A 19,549-nucleotide genomic window follows, 5' to 3' on the forward strand; every position below is an offset into this window, starting at 1 on the left:
AGGCCCACCCACATTATGGAGCATAATCTGCTCTACTCAGAGTCTACTGATATAAATGTTAATCACATCTTAAAATACCTTAATAGCAACATCAAGGCTGCTGTTTGACCAAAAGCTGCGTACCATGGATGGCCACACCAAGTTGAAACATAACCATCATACCCATGTACAATCATAGTATCTATCAATATCTATATTTACTTTTGTAATAGAAATGGTAACATGTCATATACACTGATACACACCTTGTTTTAGGTAACAACAGTCCATGTTTTGAAGGAGAACTCTCTAAAGAAATACACCTTTAAAGTATAAGAAAATTGGTAAGTCTGTACTGTGGGGGAAAAGACATGATTAATATAAAAAGGGAAACAACAGCTCGGAAACACATTTGATAGTTATTAATGTCCACCTTACATAAAGACTCCCACAAATTGAAAAAAAGAAAAACACTGATACCACATATCACAGAAATCCAGTTCACAAAAGAAAAGCTACAGACAGGAAGAAAATATTGAAAAATGTTCAAGCCCTTAACGCTGAAAGGAACGCAAATGGAGTCAGGTAAAACTTTATATAAACTAAAAGGATAAGCAAGTTTGTTATGAAACTTAAGACACAAACTGCAATGCTGACGTCACAGCAAACTAGTCAGTCTTTCAAGAGCCATTAGGCAGGATGAATCACAAGCTATAAAATCATGCCCCTTGGCCCAGTAATCCCTTTTCTGGGAACTAATCTTGAGGAAATAATTCGAACCATAGTGAAAGGCCTACACTGTATGGATAGTTACTGTAACGTCATTCATACAATTAAAGAAATACAAACAAACTAAATATCCTGACAGCATAGGAATACAGGCTAATTATGGTTTATTAACTTCATGAAATGTAGCTGTTAAACATGACTACAAGGACTAGCAATGTGGTAAAAGTATATAATGTTAAATACAACAGTTATGGCTTGGCTCTGATGGCAATGAAAAGAAAGCTGTATAAACGATGTACACTTGTGGACAAGAACAGATAGGAATGTAGAAACCTTAAAAATGGTTTGATCTGTTAGGATATCAGAATTGTCGGTGGTATTTCTGTTTTTGTTTTAGTCCTATTAATATTATTGCAATTTTATGTAATTATAAATTTTAAAAATCATAAGTTAACGTTATCCCAACAGTAGCCTCAAATTCAAATTATCATTTAGTGATTAGAAGATACTTTAAGAATCATTTGATTATATTCATTGCCCTTTCTCCTGTTGTGATGGTTATAGTATGAACCTTGGAGGATATTTCAGGAGCTGCAGTTTTCACAGCTCTCATTCTCTTCCCAGGAACTAGGCATATTTCTATTGATTAAGCCTGGAAAGATACTTTGGAAACTTCATTCAGTAAATGTGTATAAGACAGCAGAGAAGTTGGAAGCAAAGAACATTCCTGCGTCAATAAAATTAGATTTCTTTCTAATATTAAAATAGTAGCCAGTATTATTCCTGACACTTTCTAGTTGTCAAAGATGTTTTATTACAATTACAATGCAATAGTACTTTGATCTACATAAAGACCCGTTGTAGTATTGTTTATCTTTGTTCCTAGCTAAAGCTTCAGATCTACATTTTTTTCCTCAATGAATACAAGTATCCAATAAATGAAGACTCAATGAGGAAAAAATATTTGGTATAAATATTTCATTGTGTTTTTCAGTTTTACATTCCATCTCTTGATCTTTCCCTCAAATTGAAAGACAGTTTTAACAGTTTCGCAGTGCCTGTGGACTTTTACTTTATTTGTTGGCTCTTAATTTTGAGTATGGAAGTAGAGATAACCTTGATAATGGGAAATTTTCAAATTAGTAAAATGGATTTGCCAAGCAGGGAAAAGATGGTTTATGTACTGAAGTCCACACTAGCACCTGCCAAGAAAGTGGACATGGTGTTAACATCTGTCACAAACGTGTTTTTCAGGGTGGATCATTTGTACACATTCTTTGTTCAGTGGTCTCCCGATGTCTATGGAAAAGATGCCAAAGAGCAAGGCTTTGTGGTGGTGGAGAAGGAAGAACTGAACATGATTGACAACTTCTTCAGTGAGCCAACAACCAAGAGCTGGGAGGTGAGCACTTGGGCAGGGTTAGACCGTCGTAGTTCCTAAGGTACAGTAAGCAGTCTCGCATTCAGATTCCATGTAACAGGCTGGTAAGAAACTAGAGTCCCTGTGCACCTATGAAATTACAGAGGAAAATAACTTTATTCCTCCGTTTGAAAAAAAACACCACCACCAGCACCACCGCTATGTACACAGGCACACAGTTCATTCTGACCACACTAGATGAATCTACTTATATTCTTACTCATAGCTCCATGCCTTAGTTCAGAGCTCAGCAAATTTTTTTTTGTAAAGGGCAAGATAATAAATATATTTGGCTTTGTAGGCCATACAGTTCCTGTTGCAGGTACTCATAGCTGCCATTATAGAACAGAAGCAACCATAGTATGTAAATGAATGAGCATGACTGTGTTTCATTTCACATAGTTATTATGTGTCACAAAATATTGTTATTAATTTTTATTGAATCCCTTAAAAAATATGAAATCTTTCTTAGCTTAAGTGCCATACAAAAACAGGTGGTAGACTGGCTTTGGCTGACAAGCTGATATAGTTTGGCTCCACGTCCCCATGCAAATCATATCATAATTATAATCCCCAAATGTCAAGGGAGGCACCTGGTGGGAGGTGATTGGATCATGGGGACAGTTTCCCCGTGCTGTTCTCATGATAGTGAGGGAGTTCTCACAAGATCTGATGGTTTTAAAAGTGGCAGTTTCCGCTACGCTCGCTCGCTCTCCTGCCGCCTTGTGAAGAAGGTGCTTACCTCTCCTTTGCCTTCTGCCATGATTGTAAGTTTCCCAAGGCCTCCCCAGCTATGTGGAACTGTGAGCCAATTAAACCTCTTTTGTTTGTAAATTACTCAGTTTCAGGTAGCATCTTTATAGCAGTGTGAAAACGGACTAATACACAAGCTGTAGTTTGCCAGACCTCAGTTCCCTTCATCCAGTCAGGCAAGCATGTATCAAGTACTTCTTTAGGCGAGGGCCCTGGAAATACAATGATGGATAACATAGGCTCTCAATACTTAACAAGCTTGCAGCACTGGGAAATTGGGAGATGAGACTAGGAAAAATAGGTCTACCCCTCCTTCCTGTTCTGCTGCTCTCTTGAACCCCACTTAGCATTTCTTCTTTCCCAGCTTAGACAGATGGTAAATGAATTCAAACACATCCTTACCAGGACTCCTGAGTTCCTCCACCCCTCTCCCATCTACTGCACCCATCTAGCCTGCGTGCAATCCTGGATGAACCCACCCTCACACTTTTCTGCTCCTAGGCAGCCAAGCATTGCTGGAGAGAACCTGTCCACCAGGGAGAATGGTGCCATTACAAATACATGGTTCTGAATTCATCTGTGTCCATGTATAAGTGGCCCTGCAATACTAATTTAAACTCTTCACTCAATCTGTAGTTGCTTTTTTGATGTATGGTAGATGATATTTTTAATAGTCAATTTTTTTCCAGCACTATTTAATGATTTCCAATGTTTCCTTCATCATGTTGAAAGATCTTACATATGGACTGTGGGGCTGTATAACTTGTCATTTAAATATACAAGCAAGCTTGGATACTCTGTGCTTAAAAGCTTCAGTGGCCTCCTTATTGACTCTGCTGATTCTTACCCACCTGTTAGAATAACTACCTGGGAATTTTAAAAAACTGAATCCTAGATCCTTATTACTAGAGACATTAATTCAGTAGGTCTGGAGGGAGGAATGTTAGAATCTGTATTTTTCAAAGCTCCCAGATGATTTCCAAACAGTTATGTTTTGGAAACACTGACCTGTAGGGTAAGTTTTAAGCTCCTTCGTGGCATCAGGGCTCTTCTTTTTCTCTGCTCCTCCTACCTTTTCTGTCTCATCTACCTTCCTCATCACTGCTTTCCTTGCTGTCTCTTCTCCAGCCAATGTGAACCCAGAATCCATCTCTGCATTCCTGCTGTGCCCTGTCCCTGGAACATCTTCTCACACCCTATCCTTGCTCTCAAACTGAAGCACCATCTCCTCTGTGAATAAGCTATCTCAGAACCCCCCAGGTCACCCCAACCTCCTTTGAGTGTCTGCTGTAGATTTTGGCATCTGTATCCTATAAACCAAAAACAATGCCTGAGACAGATCTCAATCAATTTAGAGGTTTATTTTGCTAAGGTTGAGGATGCATCTGGTTAGGGAGGGAAAAAGAGACACAAGCCACAGTAGGATCTGTGTCCTGCACTTTTTCCAAAGAGGGTTTTGAGGGCTTCAGTATTTAAAGGGGGAAAAGTGGGCTGGAGAGGAAGGAGAAAAGAGGAGGGTAGAAAAAATGAGACAAACGGTTACTTTCTTGTGAGTCTTTGATTAGTGTGCACTGAATCCAAATGTTGCATGTGCAAAGGAGAGGGTAGAGGAACCCTCAATCATGTATGCCTTGTGCGCAGTAAATCTGCACTTTACATAAGATGAAGTAAACAGAGTCGTGGAAGAAGTCCAGTATGCATTGGTCTGGAGGTGAGCAGTAAGGTCAATTTCTAGTCTGCTCTTGTTTCCGACTTGTGAAAATAAGCTGTTAATTTACATTGTCCAGGTGAGGGAGACCACCTGGGGAGACAGCTGTTTAGAAACAAAAGGAAAGATGGTTTTTGTTTGTGTGGCTCAGTTTCAAAGCTTAATTTTCCCTTTTTTTGTAGTGAGTTTGTGATCCCAAGATTTTATTTTCCTTTTACAATCACATGGAATGGCACCCATTTATTTAGAATTGTTTCTCTACTGTCTCCTCACCTGCTGGAGACTGTGAGCAGCTTTATGTCTCTGTGCCTGGCAAAGCACCTGGCACCCACCATCATATAGGAAATAATAAATGTCCGCTGTCCTGGAGTCCCAGGGGCCCAGAGGAGAGTGTTGTCTTGCTGGCATTCTGTCCCAGGTTGTGCTCAGGCTGTTGCATTGAGAGTCAGTTCTGCTGGCCGTGGACTGGTCTCTAAGTATCTGCTAGAGTCTTCTTTATAACCCCCAGTGTGAGCAATACAATACACTCTGATCCCCGCAGCTGTGCCCAAGACTGAAAGGCCACTTCGGATCTGGAAGAATCACAGAAATATCACTGAAAATTGATCCAGTGCTGATCTGTATTTCTTTCTAACCTCCTGACATGTGATCTGAAGTGTAGAGGAGGACTCATCCTGCTTATTAGTCATTAAAACTAATTCCAAAATGTAAAAAGATAAGTATTACTCTGCCAACTGTTTTATAAAACTACATGTAAGATGACATCTTTCACAACCTCATGTAAACCAGATGTTTTCCCATTCTTTTAAGTCCCTCCCACCAACAAACATGACATAGTATTGAAGTGAAATGCCGTTTGTTCTAACTGTAATGAAGCCTACCTCCACCGAAGGCTCCTTTTCATCCTTCCTTTGAGATTCAAGCTTATACCAGGGATCACACGTACCATTTTAAATGGAGCTTTAGCCTTAAAGAAGGTGCTGGGGGCGGGGGAGAAAAAAAAAAGAAAAAAAACTCTGAAAAGGCAGGGCTAGAAAAGCTAGGTTCACTGGAGGGACGATTAGGAAAAAAAGTATAAGAAGGAAAAGAAAAAAAATGAACAATGGGGTTTTATCATAGTGTTGGGAAACCACCGTTTCAAAGGTGAAAGTGTCCTTTTACAGTCTCACAGCGATGCCTGGCAGGAAGTGTGTTTGCTCTAAATCCTAATTTGGGTGTGTTCCTGTAGAAATGTTGAAACTTCTCCTGAGGGAAACAGAAACTCAATCATGCAGGAAACTAGATACTGAGAAAACAGTTGTAGCTCAGCGTGGCTACAAGTAACTGTGGTGTGGAAGCAGAGTAGAGAGAAAACTTGTTCCTCATTAGAGAGAGAGCCACACTTCTCACTGCTCACAATGAGAGGCCAAAGATTACCCTTGGACATCCAGATTTTCTATTGTGCCAGACCTGACGAAGAGCCTTTTGTGAAGGTATGTTGGAGTGCGTCCCGAGGGCTAATAAGGTGCTGGTGAATTCTCAGTGATGTACCTCCGAGTTTCTTTTGAAAGTCGTTCTAATTAGAAAGGATTGTGCTGACATTTCTACCAGCAGGTGTTTTATTCATTGCGGAGAGGGTTATGGTGTGGTTGCCTCTTCTCATTGGAGCCAGAAATCCATATTTGATTTTTTTTCATTCCACAGCCTCATTTTATACTTGTGATAAACACAGAGTTTGCTGAAAACAGAGTGTTTTATTTCATTCATTTAAAATGCTTGGTTTGTGATTCTTGATAGTGTTTTCACTACGGAAACACTCCCCCAGAAAATGGTAAAATTAGTAAGCTTAATTTTCTTACTTGTAAATCTGGCTCAGACGCCAGCGGGTACTTTGTATCTGTCATTGTGCATTTTGGAAATTGAGTAGTGCACTACTGCCTGACAACTTGCACTGGATTTAACTTAAATGTTTTTCTCTATAATATAAAATCATTAATACTAGTACATTTTGGTGAATTAGTTGTCTAATATAATCCTTCACTTGATCTTACACAAAAGGCCAAGAAGCCTAATATACACTCTTCAATCTGAAAGTAATCCAGTGATTTATCCATAATTTAAGAAGGGCCAAAAATGGATTTTAGAGTAAAATGAACTTTGGTAATTCATAAGCATAGCTAGAGTTAAATAATAAATGTTTTGTACAATATGATGTTTCTAGGTTTAGAAGGGGAGACTATTTTTATCATCTCTGAACAGTACATAAATAATTGTAACCTAGTTGTAATTTAGACTAAAGCTTCACACTTCTTTGTACTCATGCTCCTGGTAGCTGTTATCATTCGTTATTTCTAACAGAAGTGGTTTCTATGTGCACAACCTTAAGAGAAAACATCAGGAACCTGATTAAAAACTATCCTCATCACCGCAAACTCCCTATTTATAGAAGACTTACCTACTGAATGATCTCCGATTAGTCCTTTAACAATTCAGATCCTAAATCTAAAGGCTAAAAGAGAATCATTTAGGGCATTTCAAAGGTAGAAATCTTCTGGTGTTATATACTATTCTCAGTGACCGAGCAATCAGCAGCTATACTAAAACTGGAAAACTCGTGACTTTATTTATTTATTTATTTTATTTCTATATGGAGATAGGGGTCCCATCATGTTGCTCAGGCTAGTCTCAAACTCCTGGGCTCAAGCCATCTTCCTCCTGCCTTGGCCTCCCAAAGTGCTGGGCATACAGGCATGAGCCACCACGTCTAGCCTTGTGACTTGTGACTTTAATTTATACATATTAACTGCCTCGATTGTACTGTCTTTAATTGTGCATTTGTTCTGAAACTGAAAAATTAGCCATTTCCCCAAAGTCCTGTTCAGTTGATTTCCTGCTGCCGAAGCGTCACCTTTTCAAGCACGGGTGTCCCTAGAGTGATTTTTTAAATTAGCAGTTAGAAGAAAAGCCAATAAGTTATTTTTCTTGGCTTGTTTTCTCATTTCAGATCATCACTGTTGAAGAGGCAAAGCGCAGGAAGAGCACATGCAGCTACTATGAAGACGAGGACGAAGAGGTGCTGCCTGTCCTACGGCCCCACAGCGCGCTCCTGGAGAATATGCACATCGAGCAGGTGGGCTCGCCCTGGCCACCAAGGGTGGGGGTTCCTAGGCTTTAAGAAATATTTCCCTTGGCCAGGTACAGTGGCTCATGCCTGTAATCCTCACACTTTGGGAGGCCAAGGCAGGCGGATCACTTGAGGTCAGGAGTTTGAGACCAGACTGGACAACATGGCAAAACCCCATCTCTACTAAAAATACAAAAATTGGCCGGGCGTGATGGCACATGCCTCTAATCCCAGCTACTCAGGAGGCTGAGACAGGAGAATTGCTTGAGCCTGGGAGGTGGAGGTTGCAGTGAGCCAAGATCGCACCACTGCATTCCAGCCTGCGCAACAGAGTGAGACTCTGTCTCAAAAAAAAAAAAAATTCCCATCCCTGAATGCATTTGCCCTTCTCACTTGGGCTGAAGGATGAGGCTTGTGAGGAAGGAGGAACACCAGCAGCCCACTAAGGCCAGTGCCCCCTGCTCTGCCTCTGAAAAGTCGCATTCCCTGCTGACTTCTTAGTAGTATGAGGAGTTGGTCAGACACTAACATCCTTCTCTCAAACCTGAAGAAAAAGCCATTTCTAATCTTAAAAAAATAAAAATTTTAAGCGTCCTACCATAGTCCTAATATGCTTTAAAAAGGATCCAAATTTATCCTTGTAATTATTGCAGAGTTCCCATAGCTTTGATGTATAGGGCTCAATAAAAGTAATACAGCAAAGGCACTCTACTTGCTTTATGAAAAATACCTACCTACAGGACAATTTTTCCTTTTTCTATGATTTTCTTTGTGTATTTTAGTTTCTGAATGTTTACTTGAAATTCATGAAATATTATAATGCACTTATGTTTGAACTGTAGTAAGGAATCCCTGGCATTTCCCTCATCAGTCAGCTTAGAGACATGAATTTTAGAGACCTTAAATAATCATTAAGTTTGGCTCCCTAGTTTACTGAGGAACCAGTAAAGACCCAAGACAGCCAAGAAGCTTGACCAAGTAATTATAGAGTGTGGGATTCACACTGACACTGAAACTGATTTTAAGCACTCTGAAGACTCAGCACTTCATGGCCTCCTTTGGTAATATTCTTGAAGAGATATACATTATTGGTTATTTATGGCCAAGTTTAAATATTGATGCAGGTAAAAGATATAGGTGCAATAAGAACAGATGACACCTGACTTCTAACACTAAACGTCCCTGTTTTTTTGCCCTCACTTCTGTGCAAAGCTGCAGCTCTCAGTAGCAGTTTTGAGCCTCTGAGTGTTTAGAAAGAAAAATTGGGAAAATATGAACTGTTTGGTAAAAGCCAGGTTGAAGTGGAAAGGAAGGGCATGTGTCTAGTTTATGCCTCTTTATCCAGCTTGATCTGTGTCTTCAAATATATAGCAGGATAGGGACTCCATAGTCATGTCCCTGAATGGGAAGACACCTCCTGGCCAGTATCCTTGCCAAGGTAAACACTGTCAAATGATCATTTTCTTGGTTTAGAATAGCAAATATTTGCCAGAATAAGGAGGGGCACTATGTGAGTGTATGATACTGAGTTTGAATAACAGGCATTTGTTTTGTGCCACATGTTCGTGAGCAATTTGTGGGTGAACCTTCTGTTTACATCTCTTCCTTTGGCTTTGTAGCTGGCCCGACGCCTTCCTGCAAGGGTGCAAGGGTATCCATGGAGACTGGCCTATAGCACGTTAGAGCACGGGACCAGCTTAAAGACGCTCTACCGGAAATCGGCATCACTAGACAGTCCTGTCCTATTGGTCATCAAAGATATGGATAATCAGGTGAGGCCTGTCCCTCTCATAAAGAATATTTTTTAATAATTTTTCAAAATTCCCAACAGTAGAGAGACTAGTACCATATACTTCCATCACCCAGATTCCACAGTTAACAGGATTTTGCCTTCTGTGTCTTTTATCTTTGTTTTTTCTCTGCTGAAATATTTTGAAGTAAATCCCAATCATTATGGCATTTCACCCCTACATATTTCAGGATCATCTCCAAAATGCAAATGGATCATACTTCCAAATACAGTCACATTCTAAGGAGCTTTTTTCTATCACCATGAAGTGGAAAAGTATAATGATATCCCACAGCCTAAAAACTGGAAAGTTGGGGTGGAGTGAGATCTGGATTTGGAAACAGTTGCAGAAATAAGTTCCAGTGCCATACCAGTGCCTTTCCCAGGTAGCCAAAGTAGTGCCCACAAACCTTGCCTGCATTTTGGATGTGATGGAGAGTCAGTCAAGGCCATAGTGTGTTGTGCCTGAGGGGCCCAATTGTTAAGAAACCACAGAGAATACACTGTACCGTTCTTGATTGTACTTTTGCCTGTGTTACAGTTGGTCTTTCTTGGAGGAACTAGTGAAAACTAGTTATTACCCCTTGTCCCTGCACTGTTATCTCTTCCCGTAAGTCAGCTCAGAATGGGAGTGGAATCTGTCCAGGTTTTTTTCGGTCACTTTCCTGTCAGTCTCTTGCATCATGAAAGGAAGACATCATTCACATCTGCTCATTGCTCATTTCAGTTTGACCTGTGTTCTGTTAGAAATTCCTCTAAGATTTTAAGATGCAGCATTGAGCAGATTTTCTGTCACTGAAGCAGATTTTACTCAACATTTATTCATTCATTCATTCATTTATTCATCCACTCAGCAAATATCTAATTAGAGCCTGTTAGGCGCTAGGCACTGTTAAGCATTGGGGAGCTTACTGTGAAGCACAACATTTTTATACTGAGACATGTCCACGTTGTAATGAGCCATATACATGGGATCATTTTACAGGAAATAGAACTTTGCTGTCATGATTTGCCTTGGGAAAAATTAGGGAACAAATGGGGGTACCAAAGACACTGTCTTTCTTAGCAGTGATCTTTGTGACTTTATCGTAATATTATTGTAGCTTAAGAGTTGTGGGAATTAATTTAGCTGTCATTGTTACTATTGTTATTTCCTGATTGCTGACATTTTGCTTAATAAAGATCCAAGCTGAAAGGTGGGTAGAGTCAAGATAAAAAAATTAAAATAATGATAACAGTTGGTTTAAAAGAGACTTAGGAATTTAGTGAAATGTTCCAGAATTGGATGTTATATTTTGGATGAGGTATGGCTATATTATCTTAGAGCACACATACAGACTCTCACCTAAGTATAGATTATTTGTCCTATTTACTTACCAAAATATCACACTTGTTGAGGAATGTGATGGTTCACACAGAACAGGTATTGATGAAGCACAGTTTTACCAAACTTCCTGTGCGATTTGTAAAGGAGGCCTACAACTGAAGGTTGCAGTCTTGTCACTGGGTGGAGTCTTGCTGAATCATGTACCCTGGAGGCACTTGTGTCATTTGAGGACAACCAGACACTAACTTTGCTTTCTGCACCCCATCTACCCCGAAGGGGAAACTGTGGCTTTGCTGTGTTTGAGAACATGATAGAACAACACCTGCAAATGTGTCTGAAAATGAATTATATGACATTCTAATATAAAAATATTATATATGTAGACTGGCAGCAATGAGGAGCTCTGCAGAATCAGTCCCCAGTGAAAGAACCATAGCTGGTAGAAATAACAAAAACAACAATCACTTAAAGTCTCTGGAAATTATTCTAAGCCAGTGAGGGAATATTTATTCAAGAAAATCTAATTAATCTCAGTTATAACAGTGGGACTCTGTGGCACTTGAGGCACAACTCTCTCCCTTCCCTAACCCCCCGCTGAGACTGACAGTGGTTCCACTCTGGGCATGTATGGCCAAGAAGATGGGGCACTCTCTTCCCACAGCTGCCAGTCAAGGGTTATGGTGTACCCTCTCTCACTGTGGGTCCCCTGTATTTCTTATCTCCCACCCAAGATCAGTGTTTCTGAGGCTAAAATCCAAGCAAGTGTGGCCTAGAGGTAGGGGGCTTTCTTCTTCTACCCACCCTCCACTCACAGAGCCATGCTCTACGGTAGGCATGGCAGGCTGAGAATACAGGGGTCTCTCCTGCTCTCATTTCAGCTCACAGGGCAGAAGTTTTGCACCAGATGAGGCAAGCCAAGACCAGAGGCTGCTGTCACTGTCTAGTCCCTAGCTTCAGAGCAGTGGGTTAGAGATTTTTTTCCCAGGGGAAGAGGCAGGCCACAGGACATAGAGTTCTAAAGCTCTACCCAAAGGAACTGACTTTGTTTAGACACACTTGGGGAAGTTCAAGCCAAAGGGCACTCTAGAAAACAATGAGAATTTTGGTGTTAAGAAGAAGGCTGTAGCCATGAAGGCAACAAATTAAACTGTAGACCATCTACTTTACCAGAGAGATCCAAGAAAAGAGACAGCTATGGAGAGCCTTTCTGGAGACAGGGTAAACTTCATAGTCTGGCCAAAGAAACTATCCATGCAAAGGAACCTACATTTAATTGAATCAGACTGTGGAATAATTTACACCACCAGGCATTGTTGACAACAATAGAACAATCATCAGGCAATTAATAGAGACTAATTACTAACTTCCAGTGAAGTATAGAAATGTTACTCCTATTTTGCTCTATTACATCTTTTAACTTTTTGTGGTACTAATGTTATAAATGTTATATCTGTATATATTACAAATATAGCAATAGATTGTTATGATTACTATGTTACATAATTTTATGTCTGCTAAGGAAGTTGAGAGAAGAAGAGCAAATGTACATTTATATGTTTTGTTATATGACTTTCCTTTTATCATTTCTGGGTTGCTCTTCATCTATTCCCTTGGATTCCTTTGTTCTGCTATTGCTAAATGTATTACATTTTTATATGGTATAGGCTGAACAACACTATTATATAAAAGTTGTTTTATACAATTTTTTTAAATACATTAATAGAAAAAAAGACATTTTCTCATAATCACAATGCAATAGATCTAACAAAATTAACAGTAATTCCCCAATATCATCCAGCCCTTAGTCTTTAAATGCATTTCCAGAATTGCTAAGAAAATTTTAGCTAAAAGGCCAGGTGTGGTGGCTCACACCTGTAATCCCAGCACTTTGGTAGGCCGAGGCAGGTGGATCACCTGAGGCCAGGAGTTCCAGACCAGCCTGACCAACGTGGTGAAACCCCGTCTCTACTAAAAGTACAAAAATTAGCCAGACATAGTGGTGTGCACCTGTAATCCCAGCTACTCGGGAGGCTGAGGCAGGAGAATCACTTGAACCTAGGAGGTGGAGGTTGCAGAGGGGCTGAGATCATGCCATTGCACTCCAGCCTGGGCAACAGAGCAAGACTCCATCTCAAAAAAAAAAAAAGGGAGGGGGGTGGTGGAATTTTAGCTAAAAAAGAAAATATTTAAAATTCTATGGAGGGTGTGAAAGTAAAGATAACTTATTGACTGATCAGAGAGGGAACTCATTTTCTTCCACGTATTTGTCATATTTTGTCATATTTTAACCCCATGCTTTTAAAAATAGATGCCTATTTTGATTGTATTCTGGTTCTTTTTTTTGGAAGATTACCAGAAGAAGGGCAAAGGATTTTTTATGTTTTGTTACTGTGCTATATTTCTTTGTTCTTAGCAGCTCTAGGGAAAGGTTTGGTAGCAAGAAGTATGAAAAATACTGGTTAGAAAGAGTTTCTAGCCTTCTACCTAATACTTAGTGTTACAAGTATAGCCAGGAACTGAGTGTAAGTGGTGAAGAAGACAGCACACAGAGATTGTGATCTAATTGAAATAATTTTTGAAAAATGCTATGACATTTTCCAGATAACCTACATTTAAAGCAATGTTCCTCAAATGGGATTTGAAATAGAAAGAATGTCTGAATCACCTAGGGACATTTTCAGAATACATATGCTCACCCCTGCAAGTGCTGATCAGGATGTGAACAGAAGGATGAGATGCTGAGGCAGTGGGCGTACACATTCTGAAAACACTACTCCTCATGTAGCTTGGCTCCCCTTCCATCCCCCGATAAGAAAAAGTACAAGAACCATTGATTTAAACACATCTAAGTTACCTTTCATGATATTCATGATCTAAATAACTCCATGATATTACGGGGTTATTTGTTTCTTAAAAGTCACTTTGAACTAAACTATAGTAAGTCAGTCATTTTTAAGGATATAATTTTAATTTAATAAGCATATTAATAACTCATTGTTACAAATCAAAAGAAAGGAAAGTTTATTTTCTCTGGGGAAATGCCCAGCCATGACTCCACTTATAAAATACATAAGAGATGTGACTGTGTTGTCCCAAGCACTCATTTCTGTGAGCAAGATGTATCTTCTTGTGGCTTAATGTTTCTATTATGTTATGTATATTCAATAACAGAAATTTGTCTCCATAGTGAACTTTGGAAATCTTTTAAAATTGGAACAAATTGTTGGCCTTTGACAAACAAGTTGTCTAAGCTTTGTCAGATGAATTTTGCGTGCACCAGGAAGTCTGGCTACTTGGGTTCCAGTTAGAGCTGGGGATATTTGTTTATTCTTTTATTGGTGGTCTTTTTAAGTTTGAGTGCCAATTTAGTAATAATCTTTGCTGAAATAGATCTCAGAACATGATGTATCAAAAATATTCCAGAAAGCCTTGCTTTGGGGATTTAGGTTTGAATGTAGGTAACATTTCTGTTTTCTTTTGACAGATTTTTGGAGCATATGCAACTCATCCTTTCAAGTTCAGTGACCACTATTATGGCACAGGCGAAACTTTTCTCTACACATTCAGCCCTCATTTTAAGGTACCTAGATAGGAGAAATATCCAACTCCCATATGTCACAGTGTCCTCAGTTGGGGAAGGGGATAGGCATTGGGGCAGCTAGCTGTCCTGTAACTTCTCCTGAACTGACTCCGGGCTGGGTCAGCCCTTTATGACTGTAGCTCGCAAACTGCTTAGCGTCCCTGGCCTTCTGGGCTGCTCAGGCTGGGATCCAGAGAGTCGCAGGTCAGAGCCACCACGTGTCTGAAAGGTCTTCCTTCCTTCGTAACCCCTTGGGAGATCTCATCCTGGTGTGGGCCAGGTCTGGCAGTCAGGAACTTCCTCCGTCAATGGGGTGAGGTGGTTCCCTTTTACATATAGATACTATTTCATATTTCCTCATTGCTAATTCTCCAGATTAAAATGTCTGTTTTCTTTTTTGTGTTTCTTCCCCAAGGTCTTTAAGTGGAGTGGAGAAAATTCATACTTTATCAATGGAGACATAAGTTCTTTAGAACTTGGTGGTGGAGGGTAAGGTTTTTTTTGTTTTTGTTTTCTTATTGTTATTTTACCACCTGACCTGAGTGGGTCTGTTTTGACCTACGTAGTTAAAACTTCGGTGTCAGGTTATTTTAGCTAGTCCATGTGCTTAGATGAATTAGGACAGAGGCTAACACAGAATGGCCTAACTAAGAATCAAAGATAGAATATTTATGTGTCTAATGAGAGACTGTTACCACTTGTCTTTTAGGAAGACTGGTCATTTAAATGAAATAAAGGAAATGTATCCTGGTTTTATAAGCAGTTTAGAATTTTGCCTGTCAGTAGTATAAAGGAAAGAAGATGGGGGCAAGAGAGAATAGTGTGTCATGTAACATAGAAGTGTTTTTACCTTTTTTTTTTTTTTTAACCTTTTCAGGGGACGATTTGGTTTATGGCTAGATGCTGATTTATACCACGGACGAAGCAACTCTTGCAGCACTTTCAATAATGATATTCTTTCCAAAAAGGAAGACTTCATAGTTCAGGATCTGGAGGTGTGGGCATTTGATTGAAATTCAGACTGCCTTAAAATATAACATTAAAAAGACTGGGTTCGATCAGCCCTCCTAAAGCTGGCTGGAAAAAGAAGCCCCAGCCCAGCCTGCCTCATCCCACCCCAATGCTTCCTTTCTGCCATCATCTCAGAGCATGATCACATTGCAGAAAGATTCTGGAAGGTCCATGTAGAGGGCAGACATTGAAGAAAGAAACTTAAAATCCAGGTTGTTGAAAAGACTTTGTACTCCCACTTCCTCCAAATCCATACAGTGAGGAATCAGAGTGTTTATAGATATATGAGTTGAATGCAATTTTTATTTTTGGTAACTGTGAAAAATAAGATACTGTGGATATATACATGCCTTGTGTATTTATCAGCATAATTTTCATTACCAAAATGTACAGCTATTATTTGCCATGGAAAAGGTTAGTCTCATTTAGAAAAATCGAAAGTGCACAGCACTTAAAGGGAATATATGAGGTTTTTTTTTTTTTAAAAAAAAACTTTTATTTATTATTTGTAGTATATTGTCTGAAATGTGTCGGCAGTTTTTTTTCTTTTAATGTGTCAAATCTTGAAATATTAAATGTATACATTTTGTGCTATGTTTTGGGAACAAATCTGTTTGATTTATATAGTTTTATATTGAATTTTTTTTGCCCTGATTGTTTAGGGTGATAGGTCTTAAGCAGCATATATCTATATATCTGTATGTGGGTATATAGAGATATATGTGTGTGTGTATGTATATGTACATATACATATATATGAGTGTATAATTCTAAATTTCTAAAAACTCATTATGAATGTTCATCAATTTGACTATTATAGGCCAGCTTTCCATTTAGTCAATAAAAGCGTACATTTTTAGTTACTTACCTTGAACATATTCGTGTGAAAAAGAATACATCATTTCTCACAGTCTTAAGTTGATATTTATAGAAATGAATACCTTTGTGAACCTAGACTTAGAACAAATCCTGCTTTTGAAAAAAAATGTTTTGCTTCTTACAAAATCATTTGTGTTAATAACAAAAACTTTATTTTCGGAGTGTTCTTTGTATAACTTTTCCAAGCTTTTACATTAACGAGCAGGCCTCTGTCTTAAAAGGGACTCAGTATATTAATTTCTGCATTTTTTAAATCAAATGAAAAACGTCAAATTGGACCAATTGTCTTGGTTTCTTGATTCATTTATTTGAGAAAAAAACAATACAAAGAAATGCATTCATATCAAAATTGGAATAGAAAGGAAAACCTATTTTTAAGATATCAACCTATTTTCACATCATAAAACATCTATTACATAAAATAAAGGTCCAGGCATAGTGGCTCTTGCCTGTAATCCCAGCACTTTGGGAGGCCGAGGCAGGTGGATCACTCAAGGTCACAAGTTTGAGACCAGTCTGGCCAACATGGTGAAACCCCATCTCTACTAAAAGTACAAATATTAGCCGACTATGTGGCGGGCACCTGTAATCCCACCTACTCGGGAGGCTGAGGCAGGAGAATTGCTTGAATCCGGGAAGCAGAGGTTGTAGTGAGCCAAGATCGTGCCACTGCACTCTATCCTGGGTAACAGCGAGACTCTGTCTTAAAAATAATAACAATAATAATAATAATAAAGACTTACTTAACCAATATTATTGATTACCAGACTTTTATGAAAGCCAAAGACTGCTTGCTAGTAGGAAAAAATTTCAAATAATAACCAAAGCTGAAAAATGGTCTGTCATAAATTATTTCCCCGGTAATTTTTGAAAGGAAAAATGTATAACAAGTACTATTTACATATCTGCATTTAAAAAAGCAATTCTTAGAATACTTCCTTTACATTATTCTCCTATTTTAGACATTTTGTGAAAGAGAACAAATTGTCCAGTGGCCTCCTGTCAGATCAACAATTATTATACTCCTTAATTCCATGCAAATTTAAATGAATGCTATAAAATTTTAAATCTGTAGCCTGGGTGTACGTTTCACTCAAGTTCTCCTACTGAGGACTCTTGACTAACAGCATACTGGCAGTTTCACCTTAACCTGCTCGTTAAATAATGTGTTGGTGTGAGATATCAGGAATGTCTCATGATATCACGTTTACCATTTACACCATCTGCAACCATATGCTATTAATAAAATGGAAAAAAACAAAATGGTCATTTTGCATATACTTCACTCTGACCTAGTTTAGTCCATGATACTATAATTGTGAGAGCATATCCAGATGCTGTGTTCTCTATGTAAAACAGTATTGTCCATTCAGAAATGTGTGACCCTTCATTTATGGATATTGACTATATGTAATGCAGTGCTATCCCAATATTTTCAATAAAGGACTTTATGCATTCAGTGATTTTCTTTCCCAAAGATTCATTCATCAGGTATTTACTGGGTACCAGAGTGTTTATTTTTGTGAGAGGATGGTGAAATATCCAAGACTAAACAAGGTCCAGAGCTCATGTTTTCACTGCTGCCCTGGAAACTCCCTCTTCATTCCCTGTAGCCACCCTCCTAATTGTCTCATCAGTTCACGGAAACTGCTCTCATTATGGTTACCAGAGACAACTCTTGGCTGTATCTACCAGTCTCTTCTAATCTTTCTAGCTGTGCAATGAATGACAACCTCCTCCTCTTAACATCTGTCTTAACCTACTTCATAATTTCCGTAAGGGACACTTTACTCTCTGATAAATTTTCTTTGGCATCCTGACACCTAGCCCCTAGATGTTGGGCTAGATGAAGACCCCAAGCAGTCTTCATTGCTTCATAATTCCTCAGTTCATAAGTCCATATCAAAGGACTTGGGTGGGAGGAGGCAACCAAATGTTTCTTCAGACTCTACTGAAAATGATTAGATGCATCCCCGTGCTACAAGCCACCAGAGACATCCTGCACTATTATAAGTATGTCTTCCCTTAATTTGATCTCCCTCTCCTTGATGCCTTTTAAAGTTTTAGAGACACATTGATATGGTTTGGCTGTGTGTCCCCACCAACATCTCATTGGAATTATAATCCCCACATGTTGAGGGAGGGACCTAGTGGGATGTGATTAGAACATGGGGGCGGTTTCCCCCATGCTGTTCTCATGATAGTGAGGGAGTTTTCATGAGATCTGTTTTAAAATGTTTGGCAGTTCCACCCTCACCCTCTCTTCTGCTGCCATGTAAGATGTGCCTTGCTTCCCCTTTGCCTTCTGCCATGATTGTAAATTTCCTGACGCCTACCCAGCCATGTGAAACTGTGAGTCCATTAAACCTCTTTTCTTTATAAATAACCCAGTCTCAGGTAGTTCTTTATAGTAGTGTGAAAATGGACTAATACACACATGAAACAGCATTAATGAAAGAATTACTCTCCTTTTGAGGAAGCCATTGAGAATCTCTTAAGCCAGAAAGGAGTGTTACGTTTCATGTTTTTCTTAGGATGCCTAACCTATTTTTACCAATTTAATTCGATACAGAAAGGTAAGGAGGTCAGAAACCAAGGGAAATTCCAGAAAACTCAAGGGAAGCCACACTCATTTCTTGTGCATGTATCAAAAGTGCCTTTGACCACTTCCTTCTGCCCAATGAGGTCACTTACTCTTAATCAGAGAAAGCCCTGACTTCAAAGCATCACATTCTCTGTCACCTCCTGGCCTATGACCATTATCCATAGTGAGCCCCTAACAGAAGGTGTTTTTACTGAAAAAAAAATAAGCTTCATTCTTCACACCAAACTCTTAAGATCTTATTCCCTTTCTATTTCAAATCTCTAGTGGTTCAGAATAAAAATGAGATATGAGCTATCTGGTATGGTCAATCAAGCCATCAAGATGTTGTCTCTTGATAGAATATCTTTGAGGACTTTTGGTTTCTCTCTTAGATCAGCACTGTTCAATAGAACATTCTACAATGATAGAAATGTTTCATGAATTTTCACTGTCCTTAATGATAGCCCCTAGCTACCATACTAATGTTGAACAATTGAAATGTGCCTTGGGTGACTGAGGAGCTGAACTTTTTATTTAATTTTAGTTTATTTAAATAGCCACACGTGACTGGTGGCTACCACATTAAACAGCACAGCTCTAGATCTAGATGTTATTGCCAAATTATATTTTCATTGGCAATTAAGTCAGACTATGACTCCTTCACCAGAAGAGAACCTTTACTTCCAA

The 19,549-nt window shown here is 39.0% G+C and overlaps 1 protein-coding gene and 1 long non-coding RNA gene across 19 annotated transcripts in view, besides 1 other annotated feature; one reads left to right on the forward strand and one right to left on the reverse strand.

The window, feature by feature from the left end:
- NCOA7 (nuclear receptor coactivator 7) overlaps positions 1-18,664 on the forward strand; it is a 150,920-nt gene extending 132,256 nt beyond the window's left edge. For 16 of the 18 annotated variants that reach the window (XM_047418206.1, XM_047418207.1, NM_001199620.2 and 13 more), the window contains 6 exons: positions 1,963-2,110; positions 7,573-7,698; positions 9,312-9,464; positions 14,293-14,388; positions 14,804-14,877; positions 15,266-18,664. In XM_047418206.1, the coding sequence (XP_047274162.1) occupies positions 1,963-2,110; positions 7,573-7,698; positions 9,312-9,464; positions 14,293-14,388; positions 14,804-14,877; positions 15,266-15,401 (733 nt within the window). In that variant the 3' untranslated portion in view covers positions 15,402-18,664. Of the gene's footprint in view, positions 1-255; positions 324-1,962; positions 2,111-5,884; positions 6,062-7,572; positions 7,699-9,311; positions 9,465-14,292; positions 14,389-14,803; positions 14,878-15,265 lie in introns of those variants that run through there. The other 2 variants (NM_001199622.2, XR_007059204.1) reach the window with 2 other exon arrangements.
- On the reverse strand, positions 4,810-5,672 carry LOC124901397 (uncharacterized). The gene is made up of 2 exons (XR_007059741.1): positions 5,471-5,672; positions 4,810-5,161 (listed from the first exon to the last, which is right to left on the reverse strand). It is a non-coding gene; the product is annotated as an uncharacterized LOC124901397 (long non-coding RNA).
- Positions 4,849-6,048: an enhancer, noted in NCBI's record as "BRD4-independent group 4 enhancer chr6:126239365-126240564 (GRCh37/hg19 assembly coordinates)". NCBI's record gives its function as "activates an origin of replication core promoter dependent on BRD2, P300/CBP, MED14 and CDK7 cofactors, and independent of BRD4, by STARR-seq in HCT116 cells {active_cell/tissue: HCT116}" and the evidence as "EXISTENCE:reporter gene assay evidence [ECO:0000049][PMID:35650434]".
- Positions 18,665-19,549: the final 885 nt, after the last annotated feature.

This window comes from Homo sapiens, chromosome 6 (assembly GCF_000001405.40).
Source record: "Homo sapiens chromosome 6, GRCh38.p14 Primary Assembly".
NCBI classification, from domain to species: Eukaryota; Metazoa; Chordata; class Mammalia; order Primates; family Hominidae; genus Homo; species Homo sapiens.